Here is a 25,064-nt window from a genome sequence, read left to right as displayed (position 1 = left end):
ATTCATATTCATGAACACATAATACCTATTTTCAGTTCTTTTGGATATATATCTAGAAACAGAATTTCTGGGCCTGATAAGTCTCCTTAACACAACGGGGTTTTGAAGAGTTACTAAAGCCAGTACTTATGTTGGCATGAGCTTATGGGCTACTCCTTGAGAACAGAAACCTATCTTGCCATCTATATATGCAGGATGATCATCTCCATACATGTTCATGTTCAGTAGACTTTTGTCGAATGGGTGAATTGATGAATGGATGGATGGATGGATGGGTGGACGGATGGGTAGATAGACAGATAAATGTATACAAAAGTAACTGACTAAATACTTAAATAATAAATGAATAGATGAATGGAAAACAGTTCTATTACAAACAATGACTAACAAACTCCATGGCAAAGGATACAATAAAGACTACTAGCCACATTTCAGATGAATAAAATCAGAAAAGTAAAAGACAAATTACTTGTTTGATTTGACATAGAAGATAAATGGAAACTGTTATCATTAGAACTTGAGGCCAGAGACCAGAACTCGCCTGAATGTATTGTGAAATCTAACTGCCTGGAATTAATGGACTGTCACTTGATAAACCTATAATTCTGATCCTTTTAATTTCAGAATTAGATGATTTCATGGTTGATACACTAGTTGATTATCATACAATAGATCACCACAATTTACTAAACAGCAGATTGATTAACTGTATCTAGATACAGTCCAAGAATTTCTCATATAAAATTGACATGCAAAACTTAAACAAAGAGTTCTGGAAATTTCAAAATAGAAGAATGAGCAGTTGACTACTTTAAGAAACAGTTTTAAAAAAGATACAAAAACAAAAATATTTTCAGTGAACTGACAAATTTCATTTGTCTTTTGAACAACAGACATTCCTCTCCTTAATCTGTGTAACCATTCTGAGCTATGAGAAACTTCAACACTCAAACATCTTTCCCAGTAATATTCCACATTAGTACTCACTGAGCAATCCCAATGTTCATTAGGTTCTGCTATTTGTTAAATGGGATTTTAATGTGTTTAACAGTTTCAAGTGTTACTCATGAAGAAGGCTGCAGTTTATTTTTTTTTCCCCTTCAGTATGGTCATTCTCTTGATATCAAGCTGCATTCATTTAAATACATAATGTTGGCAATAATATAGTACTAAATTTTAGAGATGCATGAGCTATCAAAGAATTGTCAACTAAGTCAAATGCTTTAGCTGACTCTTCCCTCTTATTTTTATGCCTTGAAAATACAGAAAAGATGATGGATGAAGAGAGAGGACATAATTATACAAGCCACTATGAATAATATTGGAACTATTTCAGAAACGTTGTCTTGGTGCTGCCTTAAAGATTGTTCTCAATATTTTTGTTTTACTACATTTCCCACCAGAGTAAGATATGCTATATTACACTAAAACAACCAGCACAAAACATGACACTTTAAAACAACAAAAATACCCTTGATGTTACAATTGTCTTTTTTCTACCCACTATATATATATATATATATATATATATATATATATATGCTATATAATTTGTTTTTTATATATATATAGCAAGATATTTTCTTTAAACATTTTCAATCCCACATCGAGTAAGAGCAGTAACTGACAGAAACTGATACTTTTGCAGCTATTTATTAAAAGTGTATTAAATGCTAACACAAGAATTCATTGCTTCCTTCTTAGTTCTACCAGTATGCACTGCGCACACTTCTTCTGCACTATTTATATGCATTGTGCACACTTCTTCTGCACTATTTATATTATCATAAATGTACAGTATGTATATGTATATCTGTCTTCTCTACTGTACAATGCCTTCTTTGAACTGAATGATCATTTGTCCACCTTTGTATCCTTATAGCCTAGCCTAGAATGACTGCTTTTTAATAGTTACTACTTACTGTCTACTATTTTCTGTGTACTATGATACAGGCTGGAAAGACATTTCATTTAAGTATCAATAAACAATGTAACAACCCATGTCTATTCACATTTACAAATGAAGAATCTGAGGCTCAGAGGAGTAAAGAGCCTTGTCCAACATAATACCATTAGCAAAGGGTGCAGCATAGATTCAAACCCAAGCATGACTCCAAAACCAAAGATCTCCTTGTTACCCTGCATTGCCTCCCAACATATGTTAGATACTATTTCAGGTGCTTAACATACATTATGTTTTCACTTAATTGCCAATTGAAATTTAGACATTGTTTCTGCCATTGTATACAAGAGGAACTGAGATTTACAGAGATAATCATGGAAGGTGCTCAGTAAATATTTGCAGACTGAACGAATCCAACACTTATGGAATAGCATTGGGAGGTAGTCAAAGATAATGGGAAGGAAACGTAGGGTAAAATGTTGGCTGCACCTCTTACCAATGGCCGGATGCCAAGTGAGCTGCAAAAATCTTTTTAAGTCCTAGTGTTATCAGTAAAATGTCTTCAAAATGTAGTTACCCAAATCATTAACTTCAGAAGGCAGAGGTATACTGTGTACCTATCAATACTATTTCTATGATTATCAAAGACTCCTTTGTTTACAAAGGAATTTTTCTAGATTATTTATTATATAAATTCTGTATAATCTTTTTTGATCCCAAACCGCAAAATTTACACTAAAAGTTGTGTAAAAATATCTTGCCTTGAAAAGATTCTGTATTTATTTTCAAGCAATACTCATGAGTTATATCGTGATGAAGTCACGATGGACTCGGTTATGCTGTGGTAACAACTCCAAAATCTCAATGGCTTAACAGAAAACAAAGGCTTACTCATGTAAAATCCTCTACAGGCCTGGGTGACTGTTAGGGCAGCTGACCTCTGTGTGCTAAATCAGTATTCCAGGCTTTTTTTTTTTTTTTTTTTTTTTTTTTTTTGAGACAGAGTCTCCCTCTGTCACCCAGGCTGGAGTGCAATGGCGCGATCTCGGCTCACTGCAACCTCCACATCCCGGGTTCAAGTGATTCTACTGCCTCAGCCTCCTGAGTAGCTGGGATTACTGACACGTGCCACCATGTCTGGCTAATTTTGGTATTTTTAGTAGAGATGGGGTTTCACCATGTTGGTCAGGCTGGTCTCGAACAACTGACCTCGTGATCTGCCTGCCTCAGCCTCCCAAATTGCTGGGATTACAGGCATGAGCCACCGTGCCCGGCCCCAGGCTGTTTTTTAATCTTCTGATTGCTGAGTAAGCTGCAGAGAGTCTCACATTGGAAATTCAATGTTTACCTCAGGAAAAAAAAAAATACATCATTTCTACCACATTTCATTGGCTAAACCAAGTCATGTGACACATCTACCCTCCAGGATTAGAGAAATGCAATATCCCCTATAGATGAGATTGGAAATTTGGTGAACTCTACTAATGTCTACTGTAAAGTTAGAGGAAAATACACTTTGTGCAGAGTTCTATATCTAATATAGGTGCTTCATAAAAGCCTTTCTTGATTTAAAGACCAAGGATGTTACTAAATCCAAGTCTTGGATAATTTAAAGGTGAAAGATGCACAGTTCAGTTAGGTTGATTTCTCTTATATTCTTAAAAGAAGAATGAAGAGTTTTCTACTTGTGCCTTCATCTTCCTAGTGAAGACAGCGAGAAGAAAATAAATTAATTTTATCTAATGGGTCTCAGCATTCTGGATAAAAATGATAGTAAGAACTGTCATATGTATGGAAATGCCAGTATGTGCCTTTCTTTAGAGGTCTCTAAGTCTTAATGGTATTTGGAGAAAATGTGATCCTTTGGGATGAAGTAGATAAGATAGAAATGCTTCATATTTGTGTGCTGGGTTACCACTAGCCAAGTGCTTTTGCAGCTCTCTAATTCAATTCTTGCGGTGACTTTTTGAAGCTGGCAGAGCAATTGTCCTCCTCCTTATTTTACAGATGAAGTGATTGAAGTCCAAAGAGGTCAAAGCCATACTTATGTTTACAACTATTAAATAGCTGAGTTGAAAACAAAAGTCAAAATTCTTGACCCGCAGTCCAGTTCTCCTTCTGTTATACAATTCCATCTAATCATATAACTAACTGGAGGAACCTAAGCCCATTTGCTGAAAGAACTGCCATGGAAGTAAATCCACTGTAAATAAGTCTGAATATGAATTTTTGTTGAGCTTCAATTTACTTGTGCTTGTACACAAACAGTATACCAAGTCGAAAGCCTACTGTGCAAGACAAGTTGAAATCAATTCAAGTGATGTTTTACAAATATGACTCAATCTACTAGTAGATCAAAGATAAAATATAACAAGCTTACTGACTGACTCCAGATTCATGCCGACTTTCAGCTCACCTGAGTGGGTAGGAGTTTCAAATTTGACATTGGCTTTTACTTATTGAACCACAGTGCTTTAGGTAATGTAGGTGACAGAAAGTAGCCACCTACTTGGATTAGCTCTTGTGTCATTTCACAGAGCCGCGCTGTGAATGCATTCCTCCTGTATGGCGAAACCTCAGAAGACTGCAAATGAAACCAGTGATTTTAAGACGGGTAGACACTGAAACTGTCCAACATAAATCAGGGGGAAATGTCTTTGTATTAACTAGCCTGAAAAGCAATGCTGACAAAAATATATAAGCCCCCCAGACACTTTTTTTGTCAATTTGGTTGTCATTCATTTTGAAAGCTGGAGGACTCATTTCTTTGTACTGTTTAAACATCATGACAACCTCTATTTGCTAAATGTGAAAAACATAATTAATTCCTAAGTGCTGCTTCTCATCTCCATGGCATTTTAACCCAGCTTCTAGAAGAATTGCCTATGCAAAAGAGGTACATTGTTTGGCAATGGTTCTGTTTATGATTCTGCAGTTCTCTCCTTTGGGAAATGGTAATGATGATTAGACTAAGTTGAAATATTACCAGTGAAAGGCAAACTAGGCAGCACAGGGAAATGATGAGGGACAGGGAGGTGAGAGGTGGTGGTGTCAGCAATAAAAACTCCAATATTGGAGACATTGCTTTCATTAAAGGTATACCGGGTTGTCAGGCTGGGGTCACATTTGAATGTCTAACTTAACCTGATTTAGAAGGAAGTTCCTATGACACCTTGTGTTATTTATTATTAGAGTAGAAAACGAGAAGCGTAAAGAGCTCATTCAGACACAGTTGAAGTTAAAATTCTGTCAGATAAAAATGTCATTGTTTTAAAAATAAAAAAAACAAAGCCGCCTTACAGCAGTTAATCAGACCCGAGCATATTTGGTTCAAGTCAGGTAGTTCACTCTTTTAAAAAAAGGGGGCGGGGAGAACAAGAAAAAAACTGAAAGTGTTCTAGGTGATGAGTACTTTCCTAATGATCACATATCATGTTAACAAAGACCCTGAAAAGTAGGCATTACTATATCCACTTTACACTGAAAAGAAACGTTCCTCAAGGCTTAATCACTTGCCAAAGGTCACACATAAAATAAGCAATAAAGCTTATTGAATTTCTATTCAGTTTGGCTCCAAAGTTCATATTCTTTCCTTTATACCATATGGCTGTTATAGTCTTAAAGTGTTTTATAGTGAGATGGGTGGTCACTTAAATGAAAAGACTTACTTTTCTTATTACAATCTATATACTATTAAGCCAGAAACTAGTTAACAACTACTGGAAGGAAATATTTTAAAAACCACTTTCCAAATAGGGGTGCCCTGGAATTTATATCTTTTTAGCTTCCCACGCTATGAGCCATCATAAAGGAGACTTTATTTTCCAATATAACATTTCTCAATATAGGAATCGTTATTGATCACATGTTCTGACAATTGTGAAAGAATCATCAATAATAATAAAAACCGAGACAAATTTATTCTGCATATTTAAAACTGTAAAGGTTTAAGAGAAAAATCTTTCAGAAAACTAGGGCTCCGTTCTTATCTGCTCTTTGAAGACAGCAAATCCTAGGTGCCTTAAAAAATTCACTCCTGGGGCGGCTCCTGCACCTTGGCCCCAAAGTAAATGTGTGAACGTTGGAGCTGCAGTTCTTGATTTTACCTGAAGATGGCATCCATCCCAAAGCTGTATGTGATTTGTAGGAGGACTCTCTTCAAATTCGCAAGCACTGTCATAAATTCCTTTCTACGGACTGGAAAATGTGTGCCATGTATGGTAAATGATTCTTCTTTAAGTAACAATACATTAGTATGTTCTTCAGATGGGTGCAGGTACACCTCATCTTGGGCTGTGCTGATGCTCAAGTCATTACCCTAAAGGGGGAAAAAAAAGAAATAAAAAAGAGTAAAACTGAAAAGAGGGTACAAAAGTGTCAAACATATCTATATTTGTATCCTCCACCCTCAATAGACTTTTAACTTTAAAAATTTATGTTTATTTTTTATTTATTTATTTTTTTTTGGAGACAGAGTCTCGCTCTATCCCCCAGGCTGGAGTGCAACGGCGCGATCTCGGCTCGCTGCCACCTGTGCCTCCCAGGTTCAAGCGATTCTCATGCCTCAGCCTCCATAATAGCTGAGATTACAGGCGCCTGCCACCAAGCCTGGCTAATTTTTTGCATTTGTAGAAGAGGCGGGGGTTTTGCCATGTTGGCCAGTCTGGTCTCAAACTCCTGACATCAGGTGATCCACCTGCCTCAGCCTCCCAAAGTGCTAGGATTACAGACATGAGCCACCACACCCGGCCTTAGTAGACTTTTATTTTCAGGTTGGCTTTCCCTGTCATTCAGGGAATATATTTGTGGTATACATGAAGGGAAGGCAATGCAATTTCAATATTAGCCTTAGCCAAATGCATTATGAAGCATATGCTTCTTGGTTTGGCATGACCTTAGTTCCCTGTTAACTAAAATAATAGCTACCTGACAACTCATAAACATATATGTGATTACAAACACCTTGAATTGAAAAAAGTGCACGAAAGTTACATATTTCAAACTGTAGATGGATGTGGGTTGTGTAGAACAATAGGGAAAGAAACTTAAAACTGAATTAAGCTATTATTTTAAAGGAACTTACTACATGGGAAAAAACAAACAACAAAAAAGACTGCAGTCTAATTCTCAAAATAGGACAATGGCATCTAAGGAGTATATTGAATGACCTATGACACTTAGGTAATCCTTCTTGTCTTAGTTCATTCACATGAATGCTAAATAATTTCACTCAACACTTTACATTTAGAGAACTCTTTTCACCTTAAAGGAATTCCAAAGTATACATCTAGTTGCCATATATATATATATATATATATATATATAGAGAGAGAGAGAGAGAGAGAGAGAGAGAGAGAGAGAAAGAGAGAGACAGAGAGAGAGAGAAAGAGAGAGACAGAAAGAGAGAGAGCAGACCACTTCATCCAATACTGGAAAATGTCCATTTTGAGAAAAGAATTTTTCATTTTGTCATAGATTCACATGCATGAAAGTTTCAAGACAGGAAACAACAGAGCCTGGTGCTAAATTAACATCTACCCATTTGGAATAATGAACATGCATGTATGTGTGTGCCTCTGAATACGTATCAGTGTCAAGGGGAGGAGATACATTATTGGAAAGAATGGATATGATAAGAAAGGGTGGCAGAGAGCCTCTAAGGAAACTTCAGGCTTTGAGCATTTTGAAGTTGCCTATGGCCCTTCAAATCTTGAAAGCAGTTTCTCCTGTACCTTTCTTACCTAAAACAGGATTCTGAAGTCAAGATTTAACTATAGCTAAATAAACAAGTTTCCTGTTTCATTTTATTTTATCTAATATAAACAAGGGAGTAGACAATAAAATCTATCTGGAAGCAAGAGAAAACAGGAAAAACACAACCATGTAAATTAGCATGTACCTAAACACTTTCATAATATTTAAATTTTGGAAATATGGTCCTTATGTTTGAAATTTAATTTCAAGTCTGGTCTAAAGTTCTCCTTTATCATTCAAACCCAACAAATATACTCAATCTTCTAGATATGTCTCAGAGTGAAACAAAAGAGTGGCACAAAAATCTCCTAAGGTATATTTTTTTTTAGTAGTCCTGTAAGTCAGTGTCAAACCAGGCAGGTAAAAAATACAGTACTGGTAACCTTAAGTAACATCAGGAAGTAACACGGGTGAACATGCTCTCAGTACTCTACCTCTAAGATAATCATAAGCTGGAGAACACGTTCTGTATCTTCTTCCTCTTCTTCAAGGTCATATGATATGGTAAATGTCAACTGTCCTCCTACTGCTGGGAGCTACAAGACAGAAGATGCATAATCATTACGGGATAGGAGATGGGCTATTAAATCATATTTTACTTACTGTTGTATACGAATTTTATTGTTCTATAGGGCAGTATTTGCAAGACGCAGAAATCACTGGAGTACGGAGTGGGAATGATAGGCATTTATTTAGGAGTAACCTTTTATGAACCTTACCCATCAACTGCAAGCCTGACATAAACATAAATATATGTATTATTTTCCCCAGTATTGCAGGCTTGCTGAAATAGGTTAAGTTCCATGAAGCCAAACAGCAGATCCTCCTGTCATCATCTTAGTCTACAGTTTGAGCTTTACAAATCCCAAACAGAGAACGATCTTTGTCAAAATTGGGAGAGTTCTAACCATCTGACCAGAAAGTCACTCACTTTCTGTGAGTCTGGATTCTTTCAACAAAGACATCCCTCCATTTGACAGGCACTTTACATAGCCCATACACTAAGCTGAGAAATGTTATTGGTCAAAGAAAAACAAAAGGTTAGCAGCAAATTTTATTTTATATTAAAATTCAAACAAAACAGGCAAAGAAGGTATACTTTCCTCTGTGCAATTAAATAGGCTTAGTTTGAATAAATATTATCCTCTTTTCATTAAGCAAACTTCTTTCTTTCTAATATACATGCCAAGCCCCATGCAATGTACACTTGAGGTTTACATTTTCTGACATTGACAGTCACCTTGTAGAAATTCAGAAAAAAATAGGAAAGCAAGATCATTTATAGGACAGGAATCAAAATTGAAGCTGTGAGTGACAGATTCAATGCAAATGCTGCAATCCTTTTTTTAAAATTCCACTCCAGCACTGTAAATAGAGATATTCATAAAACAAAGCTGATGATCTGTATTCTGCTGCTTGCTCTGTGCTGACATGCAGAGACTTGGCTTCGCAGGGTTGGCTCTCTATGGCCTTTCACGTCCAACCCTGACCAGACAGCAATTCCTGGTTGGGAATGTACTGGATGGAGGAGGAAGAACCCTGATTCCTCTTAGTGTTCCACAGAGAATGGCACATAGCTCGCTACGGCTGATTAAACAGGATTTTAAATTGCAGCTCTGCAATGTCTTCTAAGAGCTCATTACATGGGGCTCTATAAGGAACTTAAATTCAGAAAACTCTGATTCCCCTAATCCACTGAGAAATGGCCTTATTCGAATGTCTTTTCACATATAAAATAATAAATATCTGCCTGGACTACAGCACTTGGCATTATTGTGAGTAATGAGGGGTGAACCTATGTGGAAGATTTTAGGTTCTATTAAGATAAACATTCAAAATTTCACACAGCATGCTTCTTCAGATCAGCTACACATTTTCTCAATAAAAGGATTCTAGAAAGGCAGGAGAAAAAAAAGTTTTATGTTGTATATATTTCAAACAAGGACTGAACTATTTAGAATTTTCTAAATTAATAAATACGTTTGAAAGGAGGTTTGGGAAGAATATTGGGACATAGGCCTATAATGTTCCAAAATTTTGAGCTTTCAAATCTATTTTGATTATTTAAAATTTGAATTACATGCTATTTTTCTTGAATATGGCTTCTCTAAAAAGGAAAGAAAAATATCAACTTAATATATGAAATCACCACATATGCTCAAATAAAATACATTTTGAATTAAGGATAATTTTCCATTTTGTCAATAAAAAGAGTCAAAGTGTGTATAATTTGAATGTCAAAGCTGTTACGACTATAGATGAAGTAGAAAAAGATCACCTATGATACTTGATTTGCTAATGTGTTTTTCATACCTATTTATAATAAAGTCACATATAATGGAAACTTGCAGCACTCCCCACCTTTTTGGCATCAGGCATGGGTTTCGTGGAAGACAATTTTTCCATGGACACAGAGGAGGGGTTTTGGGATAAAACTGTTCCACATCAGATCATCGGGCATTAGATTCTCATAAGGAGCGTGCAGCCTAGATCCCTCGCATGCGCAGTTCACAATAAGGTTCCTGCTCCTGTGAGAATCTAATACCACCGCTGATCTGACAGGCGGTAGAGCTCAGGCAGTGATGCTCACTTGCCTGATGCTTACCTCCTGTTGTGCCGCCCAATTCTTAACAGGCCACAGACCTGTATAGCCCGGGAGTTGGGGATCCCTGACATAAACTAAAATACTATGAGAGAGGAATTAGAGGTGGGAAGGGGGAAAAGAGGAACAAATAAATACGCAGAAAAATAGGGGCTCCTCATGCAGGTCAGCGATAATATAAAACATGAACTAAGGAATAGAAATAATTTACCCTATTCTGCTGAGGGCTAATAATAATAGCGATAATAGTAAAACATTGTTTTAGCTCATATTTCATAAAATGATTTTTTTCTAAACTCTTTTGTGTATCTCTGATACTCATGTTTGCCATTATTACAACGTATTTTGAATTGCCTGAAAATTGTCATGAGCGAAGCTGTTTTACTTCCATTTAAGTTGTGTGAAACACGGACCATTTAAACAATTTTCAGGATACTGTTACTAGATGTTTTTTTCCCAAGCCACAGTTACCCATTTACACAATATTAGAATCAATGTCTTTTTCATTTACCCTAAAGGTATGCGTTTATGATCACATTTATATAACCAGTTAGTCAAGTACTTACTTAAGTAATTCTGTCTTTCTTTATTTTTTGACCTAGAGTCTTGCTCTGTCATTCAGGCTGATGTGGAGTGGCACCATCTTAGCTCACTGCAACCTCCTCCTCCCAGGCTTAAGCAGTTCTTGTGCCTCAGCCTCCCGAGTATCTGGGACTACAGGTGTGTGCCATCATGACTGCATAATTTTTTGTATTTTTTGTAGAGATGGGATTTCGCCATGTTGGCCAGGCTGGTCTTGAACTCCTAACCTCAAGCAATCTACTCACCTCCGTCTCCCAAAGTGCTGGGATTACAGGTGTGAGCCACCACGCTCAGGCTCTTAAGTAATTCTTAAAAGGATTGCTTAAGATATCACTCTGCAATTTAGAGGATGCACCCCTAGGAATATTAACTTATTCTTTTTAAAATTTCTTTCCTTCTATTTTTCCTTCAACTCCACAATCTTTCCATAAGCTGTAAAATCAAGCTTTTCCTGGTGTTGTTTCCAGTTGTGTCTTCCCCAAAGAGTACATACCATTGTGTAAGAGACTTTGCAATGAGTCAGTTACAAGACTTCTTTTCTGAAGGATGCTATTATTCAGGGAAAAAGCTTTGAGAATATTCTGAGTATACGTTGCCCTTTCCTCTTGCTTTAGATAAAGAATTCTCTGCCTCTTCTCCATCTGTCCACTCCTCCATGTTCCAGGTGCCGCCTTCGTTTTGTGCCTCCTTGCCCTCGCTTCTGCACTCTCTTAGAATCCCTTCAGTATCCTAACGTTTACTCTCTCCTTCAAATCCATTACCAAGTAGGTTCTCATCAAGCATCTGAATTCATCTCTCTGACTTCAGTTTTTTTGATAGGGAAAGTTTAATGAGCTATTTCATATGTTGTTGCACTTCCCTAATGAAGATTCCCCAGTGGCTCTGGGATCCCTAACGTCATTCAAGTTTCCGTGTAGTTTCAATGCCTCTAGGATCTATCTACCCCTGTGTTCACAAACTGTGTGTAGAGGTGCCCCAGGGTGCTGCAGTGAACTCACAAAGGCACAGTGGAATATTGTAAACATTTGAAGGACACACAGCAATACTAAATATCTGTTGGGCACTGCAATAACTAATTCAAGGTGGTTCACAAGTTGAAACCTTAGAACATGCTATATTCCACTTAAGAATGTTCTCAACATTTTGAGCCATGTTTCTGCTTACTTGTACTTTAGGCCACTTTATATCTTTATTAAGAAAGGTTTTCAGAAGAGACTGTAATTAAAAGCAAGAACTGCACAAAAGTCAATGTGGAAAAGGAAATAAGGATAGCATTATCCAATCTGATACTCAAGTTTGAGAAGGTATATACTACCCCAAAGGTACCACATCCCATCAGTAAGTGATTCTGGTTATTTATGAAAAAAATTATTATTTTCTGTCCATTTTCTTTTTAAACAATTGCTAGGTTGTTAAAACATGAATATTTATTAAGTTGTTTGGCACTAACTACTTAAGAAATAGAACTGTGGCTTATTTCTGTTGGTCAAGGAGGCACTATGAAAAAATTATGAATACGCTATGAACATTCTGAACTGAGAATGTCTGGGTATGTCTGATCTAGCCTCTTTTTATATTTATCCATTCTGTTACTTGGATTTTTAAAAATGAATTTTCCTGCCAGAATTCTCATTCTTATAGTTCTCTGACCATTCAAACACTTATTTTCTTTGTTTGTTTAGCTGATATTTGACTAGTAAGAAGACTAAAGAAAAAACAGTTTTTTAGTGATATTTCCAAAGCCTGATGCAGAGTCAGTGGCAACCACAGTAAATAAGGGAACTAAAAGATTCCAAACAGGGAGAACTCTATATAAAAAAATTCATCCATTAACATTCATTGAAAAATTCTAACAAAATATAAGTGGTCTTGGTAAGTTATACGTACTGCAAATAACTGTAATTTTCCACATTTTTGGACTTTGCAGACTCATTTATTAATTTTACGAGTCTTTCATAAAATTGAACATCTTTGAGACTTTCAAATTAGTTCATTTTGGGGACAATATTGATTTCTCTGATTTTACAGAGCACTGTGTGTTCAGCCAATAGAACATTTCATTTTCTCCTGCTATTTAGGAACTAATCTGTCATTGTTCTCTTGGCTAGAGAAATATGGTTTTCCACAGGTAGGAGTAAGTGCAATTTTAGTTCACTTTGAGGCAATTCTTATATTACTGGATGGATTCGACTATATTTACTAGGGATGAAAATTATATCTCTTTTCAATACAAAGAGAAAGTGAATTTAGTGAGAGCGGTTCATTCCATTTCATAAGGGTCTCCAAAGGCTTGGCCTTTTCCCTCTTTCTCCATATCTACTAAGGCAAATTCTCTTCAGGGAGATTCAGATATCAAATTGAGAAGGCACTGCAGGAAAAAATTTACCTCCATTCCTGGAGATGGTTCTAGGCTAAGCCATTCACTTTCCTGTTCTTCAGCTTCACCCCATTAAGAAAAGAAGAACACAAGTAGCTGTTTCCCATGAGTACCTGTTTTAATTCTACCTTCAGGGGGAAAAACCAGCTTGTTTGCAAGTAATATTATAGTTACTATGCAATATATAACCTAATGTCACAAATAACAATACAGTGTGCATGGTGCACATTGCATTAAAGATTTAATGAGGCAGGAAAGTTTTCCCACATGACTGGAGAAGGCTAAAAGGTAATTCATAAAACTAAGCTTCATAAAAGAATTTAGCAGTAGGCTACTTGTGGTCTGGCCTCTTTTTTTTTCCCTCTCAATCTCAAGAAATATGAATTGAGGAATGAAGGATGGGATAACCTATTGAGGATAATGTTTCTGGAGAGGAAATCCTTTTCATGAAATAAGCCTGGAACATTTGGTTCTCTGATGTCAGATTATCATCACTGTTATTTCACTAAATGGAGTGTAAAACCTAATATTTGCTTTTGCTTACCAGAGCAAATATTTCAGGAGGGATACACAAAAATCAAATGAGAAAAAGGCTTTATAATACTGAGCAGGATAAATTAAACATATCTGTCAATTTCCATTTAGGATCACAAACAGGGCAAGCGATTCATCTTCTTAGATCCCAAAGCCCGCGAGCCTTAAACTCTGAAAAGGTATCCCTCCCATAGAAGTGTTTATTCATGCATCTATTTGTAGAGCTCTCTTTTATCATAGAAACAGTGTTTTACTTCAAGGTTTTGTTATTTCCTTCAGTGTATGTATAAATTTGAGTTAAGAACAGATTTCTCTTCTTTAAAAGCTCGATAATTATTAGAATAGAACATAAACAAGAGGATTGTAGAATTAGAAAACAGGCAGAATTTACATGAGAGGTTTTAAAGTTACATCATCCTTAATGCATAGAAAATGAACCAGAGTTGTAGGTGTCGAACAGAGACAACACATTCTAGAAAAGTTGGTTTAGAAGGGAATAAACTGAGTTATGCAGTCCAGGGGATATAAATAAAAAACCTCGAGGAAAACATCCTGCCTGCCTGCATTCATTTCTCTCTTCCACCTTTTTTTTCCTTCCTATCTGCTTTTCCTGCCCTCTTTTTTTCCTGTTACCCATCTTCTCCTTAGCTTTCTTCTTCATCTCCTTCTCCTCTTCCTCCTCCTTCTTCTTCTTCTTTTCTTTTTCTTCTTGTAGCCATTAGACTGTTTTGATAGCATTTCTTTTCACAATAACTATGTCCTTTCACACGTGCATTAATTAGAACTGGTTGGGAAAAGTCCTGAATTTGGGATTTTTTTTTTCTTTTTCAATGTGACCACTACAATCAGTTTAACCTGATAAGATAACCTGTATTGGGTGACCTAAATTGCAGAAGTATAAAAAGTAGTGATGAAAAGTATGAATGTGACAGAGTCAAGGACATAGTTCTGGAACAGACCACCAGAGATACTGCCTCAAGTGTAACTAACACTGATTGCTTATCAGTGTCCTAGAAGCTCAGCCCGTCCACTGCTCACAGGATTACTCACTCATATTTTTTCTTCCTACATTTCATATAACTCCACATTCTCATAAAATACAGCCTAGACAATATTTATATACAGTGTTTCTTATCGTTAAGGCCAAGAGATATTCATTATAGTGTTTTGATTGGCAAGGGGAAAAAGAGTAACTGTGAAAGGCATATAGAGAGGAATGAGAGGCCAACATGAATTTCTCATACAAATTTTTGTTAAAATGTTTATTCACTGGAATAGCACTGACCTATCTTGAGCATATGTTTTGTCTGCTGTGTAACAAAGTAAGGCCCAATTATACTTTCCATGTACTCAGCTATAATTCAAAGTAAATAGAATTTGAAGAGTTTGATCAGGTAAGAATGCTTTTGGCTGCAATTGAAAACCAGACAATTAGGAGTTCTCATATAACAAGAAGTCCAACAAAATGTGGTAGGCAGACAAAATTTTAAAACAAATGGATTAGCTTTTATTTTCTTATTTCACGTATCTTTCCCCAACACAGATCCATTTGAGCACACTTGAAAATATAAATCTCCTATGAATAGATTTGCAAAACATCACATAGAAGAAGATGATGTGCTTAGAAAGGCAACATTCCATATAGGAAATGAGTATTTAATGTTTCCTTTAAGTTTTCTGACTTAGCGTACTACTTGTTACTTTATGACATACACTGATCAAATCTTGAGTTGAAATAGTACAATCTCAACAGATGTGAGTAAATGGTAGTGGTGAAATTCTCTGAAGTGCTTCGTGCTGTTAGGCCCAGACCCAAAAACAGGGTCTTTGCAACAGCTGTTTGTTTTCCATTTACTAACTTATGTTTGGATGAAACATTCCATTAGCACTTTTACTATGGGCTAGATTAATTTGTGTGTAAATATTCAGTGCAAAAAATACATGTTATCCATAATTAAACATTGATCTAATCAAATAAACCATAAGTTATAGTTTTATATTAATACAGAGATTTCTTATTGACTAGGGTTCAAAATTTTTTCAAGGTCTCTGCCAAGAAAACAAAAAGCCACACGCTCATAATATACAACATCAATGCTGATTAAAATAACAGAAAAAATTTTAATCCAAGTTCCTTTAAGCTAAAGAGAAACAGGCTTGCTATTGTCAAATAGATAACAAATGAATAAAAAGAAAATGTATAATCCTTGTGGAAAATTTATGTAACAAAGAGATATCAGCAATGCAATTTTCTTTTTAAATGAGAATTGTAGTTAACCTTTCACTTACTGCTTAAAGATTTTGTCTTTAAGGATATTCATCATGTTGGACAGTAGATGGCTATGGTATGGCCCTTTCTACTTCTGTTGCAAAGGGAGGAACAATAGAAAGTATAGAAAACAGAGTTCTCATCTTGCCTTGTAGGCAATCCTCATTGCTTACGTACACCTTCCACAACCCTGGATATGGCCTAAAGTGCTAAATATGAGTTGAATGAATTTCAGGTTACATTATTCAGATGGAGGGCATTTTGAAATAGCAGACAACGTATTTCCCAGAAAAGCAGAAGCCAGAACACCAACCTTGGAATACTATTTTGATGTGATGCCAAGTGGTATTGATCTGCCACTATTCCCTTTTCACTCTTCCCTCATTCGTGAACTCTGCAGGTGATTCTTTCTTACAGCAGTAGAAAGTGGTTGTGAATTTTAGAAGATAAGAATCCCAAAGGTGCAATGGATACTAAGTCACACTCCAGAGGAGAATCAACAGGGTAATAAAATACATTTTAAGTGTCTTCTTCCAAAATAAACAGGTAAAGGGTTGTGTTAGTTGTTTGACATGTCTGTTAATATTGGAGTCATATATAAATCACACAAAAAATTAAGCTCATTTCTGGAGATTTTCCAGAGCTGGTTGTGGATTTTGATTCTGCCTTTAAGCACTACAAGGCCCTTGGGAAAGTTAATTTTGCTTTCAGAGCATCAGTGAATTTTCACTAAAATGAGACGAATCACACCTACCTCCGAAGTTTGCTCTTAGGATGAAATGAGAAAATAAACATAAAACTCCCCACTTGGTACCTAGCACATAACATGTATTCAATAAATGTTGTCATACTGTTTTAATAAGTATAGTTTTCAAAATTAAAATACTGTAAACATTTCACACTAAAAACCTAGTGGTTTATTTCATAATTCTAAATGCACTTGAAAATCCCACGTTTTGGGGAGAGATCATAGTGATGGCCCAATTCAGATTTTATTCACGTCTTAATGTTTCCCTATGGAATTTTGCATAAGCATCTTATAGATAGTAGATCTTGCATAAGTATCTGCTGAATTTTAATCACATTCAACACCATATATCACTTCAATGTATTACACATAGAGAAGGCATAAAAAACTGGGATAAATTTGTACTACCCCATGAGATACCCTGCCATCATTAAAATATGTCTTTATTGGTTTCTCTGTTCTTAGCTTTATCAGTCCTAAAAATAGGCTAAAGGAGATGTATCTATTTGAGCTTTTCTGTGATTTGAGCTTACCTATAAAAAGCTTACTGTACTGCAGACTGGTGAACCACAAATGCATTTGTTTTAAAATAAGGAAGCTTTAGTGTTTGGGAAGTTTGATCTGCAGTTGAAGGAGAAAAATCAATATTTAAGTCACTTAGACATTTACACACATAAATCAACTCTATGGCATTACTTTTCCCAGCTTCTGTATATTAGGATAATAGTGTAAATTCTAGCACCTAGTAATATATACTTTATAAGTTATAAATGCATTTTCAATTTGTTATGATATATAGGCAAACAACATACTCTCTGTATTAGGAAGACACATAGTGTATAGATTAAAGGAAACGGCGATCCAGGAGCAGTCATAGCTAGTCAGAGCACATCCAGAGCACTGTGATCAATTCATGACACCACCATTTAAGAGAGTAGTTGACAAATTAGACTTCATCCATAGAGGTGTGACCAGGATGTTGATGGTCCCAACAGCTGAACAAAAGGTTTGGAAAGGTAATGGGAGTATTTAAAAAGAGAAGACTTAGGAAAAGCATGATTGTTTTCTTGGAACATTTGAAGGCCTATCAAGTATACCAGAAAAAAAATCTCACTGTTCATAGTGGAGAAATAGAACCTGTATGAGAAAGCGTTGGAGAATGTGGTGATTAATATTGACTGTCTACTTGACTGAAGTATGCAAAGTATTGTACCTGAGTGTGTCTGTGAGGGTGTTGCCAAAGGAGATTAACATTTGAGTCAGAGGGCTGGGAAAGACAGAACCACCCTCATTCTGGGTAGGCACCATTTAATCAGCTGCCAGCGTGGCTAGGATAAAGCAGGCAGGAGAACGTGGAAGGTCTAGAATTGCGCAGTCTTCTAGTCTTCATCTTTCTCCTATGCCGGATGCTTCCTGCCCTTGAACATCAGATTCCAAGTTTTTCAGCTTTTGGACCCTTGCACTTACACCAGTAATTTGCCACGGGCTCTCGGGCCTTCGGCCACAGACTGAAGGCTGCACCGCTGGCTTCCCTAATTTTGAGGTTCTGGGAATCGAACTGGCTTTCTTGCTACTCAGCTTGCAGATGGCCTATTGTGGGACTTCACCTTGTGATCATGTGAGCCAATTCTCCTAACAAACTCCCCTTCATATATACATCAATCCTATTAGTTCTGTCCCTCCAGAAAACCCTGTGTAAGAATTAACTTCTAAAATCTGGAGCTAGATGCAGTGGCACACAACTATAATTCCAGCTACTTGGGAGGCTGAGGCAGGAGGATTGCTTGAGCCCAGGGGTTTGAGACCAGCTTGGACAACACAGCAGAACTTCATCTAAAATAAATAAATAAAATAATATCTAGAGCTGTTGAAAATGGAATGTGCTGCTTTGTAGGGTATCCATTTCTCTGAAGATACATGAGTAGAGATCCACCTGTCTGGGGTGATAGAAAAGGAATTCCTATATCTGCTGAGACATTGGACTAGATCTGATCTCACTGGGAAACATGCAATTGCACCATGCCAGTTTATTAACAGTGGGTTATTTAAATATTAGAGTTAGTCCACTGAAATTTCTATTGTAGGGTAATAGAATAGCAATTAGCTTTATCCACCTGCTTCCTGCTCTGCAATTTTAGAGCTAAAGCTTATATAGGGTACAGCAATACATTTCATTAGGAGAAAATTTCTTGTACAGATAGTATTAGGAAGATGGTATAGCATAGTGGAAAAGAGTACAGTTCTAGAACTGGACTACCTGGGGCAAAACACTCAGCTCTGCCACTTTTTAGCTGTGTGTGACAGGAGTGAATTACTTAGTCTCTCTTTGTGTCAAGTCTCCATCAGGGAAATCAAAACAATATAACAGTAACTACCTCATAGCGTTGTTGTGATGATTCAATTGAATAATCTAGAATAGTATTTGACATTTTGTAAATGTAAACAAGTTAGCAGTTATCATTGTTCCTGTTATTGTTGCTATTATGTAAAACAATCTCCAAAATATTGTAACTGCCCAGAGCAAGATTCTCTGACTACTATACCATGGCAACAAATCAGTATGATCTGGATTTTTAAAATTTGAAAACAAAAACATCTGGTATGTTATTTTAGCAAGCTACAGATAATACAAAAAAAAAAGGTAGATCTCAAAAAATAAGGAGACCCAATTGCTGAACCATATGTAATCAAAGCTAACATTTTCATGGAACTTTAGAATTTCAAAAGTACTCTTTATCCTCATTTAATCTCCGGAAATTGTATAATGTAGGTTTATTATTATTATTCTATTGTATAGATGGAGCAATCGTGGCTCTAAGAGGTTAAATTGTTCAAGTTCACACTGTTACTTTGGTGATACTATAGTGCATCCTTGATTTATATATTCCTTTTAAACACTTCTCCTCAAGACAAACTCTCACTCTTGGGCTTTCTCTCTCTCTCTCTCTCTCTCTCTCTCACACACACACACACACACACATGAACACGCTCAGTGGTTTCATGTGACTATAATGCAAAAGTATATGTTTAAGAATGAGACTTACCCACTTTCTAATTGTAGTCTATATATTTGCTGTGTGATTTTGGGAAAATTAATTCAACTCTGAATTATACGTTATGTTATGTCTAAAAGGGCATGAAAATACCTACTTTGAAGGGTTTTAAAAAGAAATTCATAAGAGGAACACAGAACCCATTCTTCATGTTCTATAGTAACAGGCAGATAGAATTTATTTAAACATTATTTCTTTTCCTCTCCTAATTATTCTTGGGATTCAGTAAGTTCAGAATAGATTTTTGAATTAGATTTTAAATGCTTGTGTGGAAAAAAATATAATTGTCTCTCTTCCTTTTTTTTTTTTTGAGATGGAGTCTTGCTCTGTTGCCCAGTCTGGAGTGCAATGGCACTATCTTGGCTCACTGCAACCTCTGTCTCCCAGGTTCAAGCAATTAAGTGATTCTCATGCCTCAGCCTCCCAAGTAGCTGGAATTATAGGTGTGCACCACCATGCCTGGCTTTTTTTTTTTTTTTGTATTTTTAGTAAACACAGGGTTTCACCATGTTGGCCAGGCAGGTCTCGAACTCATGGCCTCAGGGATTCGCCTGCCTCAGCCTCCCAAAGTGGTGAGATTACAGGCGTGAGCCACCACACCCAGCCCAAAATGTCATTTTTCACCCATTGGATTGCCAAAGACCCAAAAGTTTGATAATATACTCTATTAGAGAGGGGTTTAGGGAAACAAGTACTCTCATGCATTGGTGGTAGCATGTCTAAAATATATGGGTTCAATTTGGCAATATCTGTTAAAATTATAAATGCATATATACTTTGACATAGCAGTTTCACCTTCAGAGATTTATCCCACAGTTATAAGGGTGCATGTGAGAAACAGCTGGGCACATGGCTATTCACTGAAACACGCTTGCAATCCCAGCACTTTGGGAGGCTGAGAAGGGTGACTCATGAGTTCAGGAGTTCAAGACCAGCCTGGCCAAGATGGTGAAACCCTGTCTCTACTAAAAATACAAAAATTAGCTGGGCATGGTGGCAAGCACCTGTAATCCCAGCTACTCGGGAGGCTGAGGCAGAGAATCACTTGAACCCGGGAGGTGGAGGTTGCAGTGAGCCGAGATCACACCACTGCACTCCAGCCTGGGTGATAGAGCAAGACTCCATCTCCAACAACAACAACAACAACAACAGAAAAACAATGTATAACAACGTTTGTAGTAAAAAATATTGAAAATGTCCGTACGTCCATCAATAGGGGTTGCAATTAAACATGTTAAAAATGATGATGGAAATGACAACTCACACTGACATTATGCTTTGCAAGTGCTAAGCACTCTACAATGTGGCTTTGGATATGTTCATTCATTACATTCTCAAAACACCACACACAACCTTATGTGGTAAGAATCTTATAACTGTTACATTGATTTTAAAGATGAGGGAATTGAAGCATTGAGTACTTACATAACTTGTTCAAGGTTACAAAGATGGCAGGTGGTGAAAGCAGGATTTGAACCTTCACAGTCTAGTACTAGAGTCAATGTTTAACCTCTGTGCTGATTGCTGAACACGTTTGAGTGCATTCATTCAATGAAATACACAATCATAGATACATATGATATATTACATATACTTACACATATAATGAAGAAACTATCCAATATGGAATTAACTTCAAATTATATTACATAAAAATTATACTGTGCTCTTATAATGTGTATAGTATGTTTCCACTTGTATAAGATGAGGAAAAATAAATATATATATACTTATATGTGTGTGAGTGTGCATGTACATATATACACATGAGTATATATTAATCTATTAAAACATGGAAGAATAGAAATAGGGAAAATAAGAGTTAAGTCCAAAATACATGCTACTTACTATTTCAATGTTATTTATTCTTAAATTAATTTTGTCAGATGAAATGACTCATAAAAATATCAGCCTTACTACCTGGAATATCTGAATGAGGTGAAATATTTGTGACTTTGGCACCTGCAAAATGAAACATAACAAAGCAAAAAGTGTTTTATAAGGGGTGCTCTTAAAACGTATTCAGATATTCAGAGGTTTTTATAGAAGGGTGACATTGAAGAAAACAAGGGAAGGGAGTTCTGAGCATTAGCCAGCACTGCCGAAACCAGATGTTTCATTTTAAAAATACTTGTTTCTTAAGAACAAAATGAAAACCAAAATATAGAATATGAAAGTGAAAAAAGCTGAGATTATGTCTCAGTTGAGTATCTCACAGAAATAGAACTTTGGACAAATTATTTACCTCGGTGAACATTAACAGCATCGTCTCTACTGTGCAAATTTCAAAAATTTTCTTGCTCATTTTACTGTGTTACAGTATTTTGAGATTCATATGAACTAATGTTTAACACATTTTGGAGGCTATACATATGTACAGTTTTATAATTGACACATTTAGTTCTAAAATTCCCTGACTTAAATGATAATAAAAATCAGATCATATGACTTTAATGAAGTGTTCAAGATTTCTTGCTTAATAGGGAAATTTTCTAACATGAGAACTTACTGCTTTCAAGTAAGTACATTGCACAGTATTTCAGATTTGTCTTCACTTTATTTCTTTTTATCTTGAGTAGATAAATCATTAGAATAAATAGCCTTGGCAGAGTCTGCACATTTCATCACACATATAAGTAGGTCAGACTGTGGCCTTTTTAACCCAAAAGAGGAAGGAGAAGAAGAAAGAAGAAAAAGAAAACAATGGCCAAAGTTTCCAAATAAAGCTGAGCATTTTTTATGAGAAACATGAGAGCGTTGGTGATTTTTCTACTAAGTTCCCCAATTCCCATAAACTATAGGTACCCTTTAGAACAAAGGAGTACAAACTGTTCTTTACTATTTTCTAAGAAAACAGAGTTCCTGCCATACAAAGGCAGACAGACCCTCAGGACATTCCAAAGTTCCTGCTAAGAGTTCAAAGTGGGCCATGAAAGTTGTCCTATCAATCACAACATAAAACACACACTTTCTCATACTCTCAAAGGGGTGCAAATATTTATGCAGCTTTGGACACTTATTTTCTTCATATGCTTTCACATCAGAGGAGCAATTGTATACTTCTTGTAGGGGACCATTATTATTGGTCTTTTGAAGAGGTGCTGACCATGCAGAATAAGTGAAGGGAGACACAGGGGGAGCACCAGTGTCTTTGAGTCTTCTTGTTAGAATTCATTCACTTTTCACTAAGGCTTGGTAAAAGCAAAATTGGATATTCTAGTAGCATAGTAATTGGTAAGAGCCTATTCTTTTTGTCCACAAACTCTACGTACTGAAATACCTAATGTTTATTTTGTACCAGTTCAGTTGGTTCTAAGCCCCTTGGCCCCTGGAAGTTTCCTGCTTGTCTTTCACATGGGCATTCACTAGTGAATGTAAAATTTGCTCAGATAGGCAAACTAAGTTCTTGTACAGGTTTGAATTATAAAATTATCTTCTTAACATTTCAGAAATATGTGTAAGATTTTACTCCCACTTTTAAAAATCATACATTTCCATCTAAAATAAACTAGAATAAGACCTGGTGAACTTAATTTACTAGATTTCATTCACTCAAAAACATAGACCTCAATTTACAGTAGGCTACTAAGATGAAACTGGCTGAGTAATTGACAGATTTTTCTTTGCTTTATCTAGTTTCATAAAGACACAGAGTCGATAATATGTTTTATGCCCCCTGTTATATTCCTAGGTGGTTTATCTATTGAATACTTGAAACACCGTACGTGTAATTAAATTTTCTAAATAACATAAAAGTACATACACAATTGATAATGAGCATATTGACTTACTAGCATCAATATGGCTTACATTTCAAAAATGCAGTTTTGATTTTGCAGCTATTTATAAAATGTACCCCCAAATAAATATTTTGTTTTTAATGAAATTTACTTATTCAATTTAAACTGTATTTATGCTAATGGATTTCTTATTATGAAAAAATTCCAATTCCAAGATAACATGTATATGGTAGAAGAAATATCACTAATAATTCTTTTTTCAACTTACTTCTCATCTTTGTTATACTTTGAACATCCTGATTCTGTGATATAAGTAAAAAACTCAAGAAATTCAGCAAAATGGGGTGCCCTCTGAGGGGCTTCTATATAACAACAACTAGATTGGAAGAATTATTATAATGAATGTTTGACTTTTTGGATTTTCATCTATGTGTGGTATTATGTAGACATCATTTAAATTGGTTGCATATTTGGACATTAATTACTGGAGGCTTTTCTAATTACAAATACAGTCTTTTTATCTAATGCATATATCTCCAGGCCTTGCAAACCAATGGATAGAAATAAAGTCTCATATTGGAGTCCAGTAAGAATAGTTCTTAGTTCCCTTTACGTCTCCAAAGCAAATTTGTTCCGGCCTCCCATCAAGATAACTCTTCACTACTCGGCTGCAACTTCCCATAGTGAGAACTTTGCTTCAGGCAAAGCCGCTCTTAACCTTCAGGATATCAAGCCTGCCCTTGGTCAGATGCGGAAAAAAAGAGTTCCTCAACCCTGTGTCAAAATTTGTCTCACAACATTTTTCACAAAAATATCTTCTTAACTTTCAGTTCTTCTTTTTGCTCTACTGGAGCGGAGTTTCAGACCAGTTTTTCAAGACCCTTAGTGAAGGGGAAAAGGAAAAAAAGGACAAATACCATAAAATCTCTATGATATTTTTATCCCATTGCTTTCTCCAAATCTTGGGCACAAAATACTTCCTTTCTGTTTAAAGAAGAAAGCCTTCATATACAGTTGACACCTGAACAACACAGGTTTGAACTGTGCAAGTCCGGTCCATTTATACGCGGATTTTCTTCTGTCTCTGCCTCCCCTGAGACAGCAAGACCAACCCCTCCTCTTCTTCCTCCTCCTTAGCCTTTTCAACATGAAGATGATGCAGATGAAGACCTTTAAGATGATCAACTTTCACTTGATTAACACAAATATATTTTATCTTCCTTATGATTTTCTTAGTATTTTCTTTTCTCTCTAACACACTTTATTATAAGAATACAGCATATATACATATGAAATACAAAATATGTTAATAAATTGCTTATGTTATCAGTAAGGCTTCTGTTCAACAGTAGACTCTTAGTAGTTATGTTTTTAGGGAGCTAAAAATTATAAACAAATTTTCAACTGTGTAGAGGTCAGCATCCCTAATCCCTGCATTGTGCAAGGGTCAACTGTACATTGCATTAGTTTCCTATTGCTACCGTAACAAACTTAGCAATTGA

The 25,064-nt window shown here is 36.0% G+C and overlaps 1 protein-coding gene across 2 annotated transcripts in view, besides 2 other annotated features; it reads right to left on the bottom strand.

Annotated features, from left to right (window-relative positions):
- LAMA2 (laminin subunit alpha 2) overlaps positions 1-25,064 on the bottom strand; it is a 633,429-nt gene that overhangs the window by 258,262 nt on the left and 350,103 nt on the right. For both annotated transcript variants that reach the window (NM_000426.4, NM_001079823.2), the window contains exons 13-14: positions 8,092-8,193; positions 6,010-6,221 (exon numbers count right to left, since the gene is read on the bottom strand). In NM_000426.4, the coding sequence (NP_000417.3) occupies positions 6,010-6,221; positions 8,092-8,193 (314 nt within the window). The remainder of the gene's footprint in view (positions 1-6,009; positions 6,222-8,091; positions 8,194-25,064) is intronic.
- Positions 6,453-6,657: a silencer, noted in NCBI's record as "fragment chr6:129572793-129572997 (GRCh37/hg19 assembly coordinates)". NCBI's record gives its function as "represses an EF-1alpha promoter that drives an FKBP-Casp9 reporter gene in an ReSE screen in HepG2 liver carcinoma cells {active_cell/tissue: HepG2}" and the evidence as "EXISTENCE:reporter gene assay evidence [ECO:0000049][PMID:32094911]".
- Positions 18,123-18,332: a silencer, noted in NCBI's record as "fragment chr6:129561118-129561327 (GRCh37/hg19 assembly coordinates)". NCBI's record gives its function as "represses an EF-1alpha promoter that drives an FKBP-Casp9 reporter gene in an ReSE screen in K562 erythroleukemia cells {active_cell/tissue: K562}" and the evidence as "EXISTENCE:reporter gene assay evidence [ECO:0000049][PMID:32094911]".

The sequence above is a fragment of the Homo sapiens genome, chromosome 6 (assembly GCF_000001405.40).
Source record: "Homo sapiens chromosome 6, GRCh38.p14 Primary Assembly".
Lineage (NCBI taxonomy): Eukaryota > Metazoa > Chordata > Mammalia > Primates > Hominidae > Homo > Homo sapiens.
Note: the sequence above shows the minus strand (reverse complement) of the source record. Positions and strands in the feature narration are given on the sequence as shown.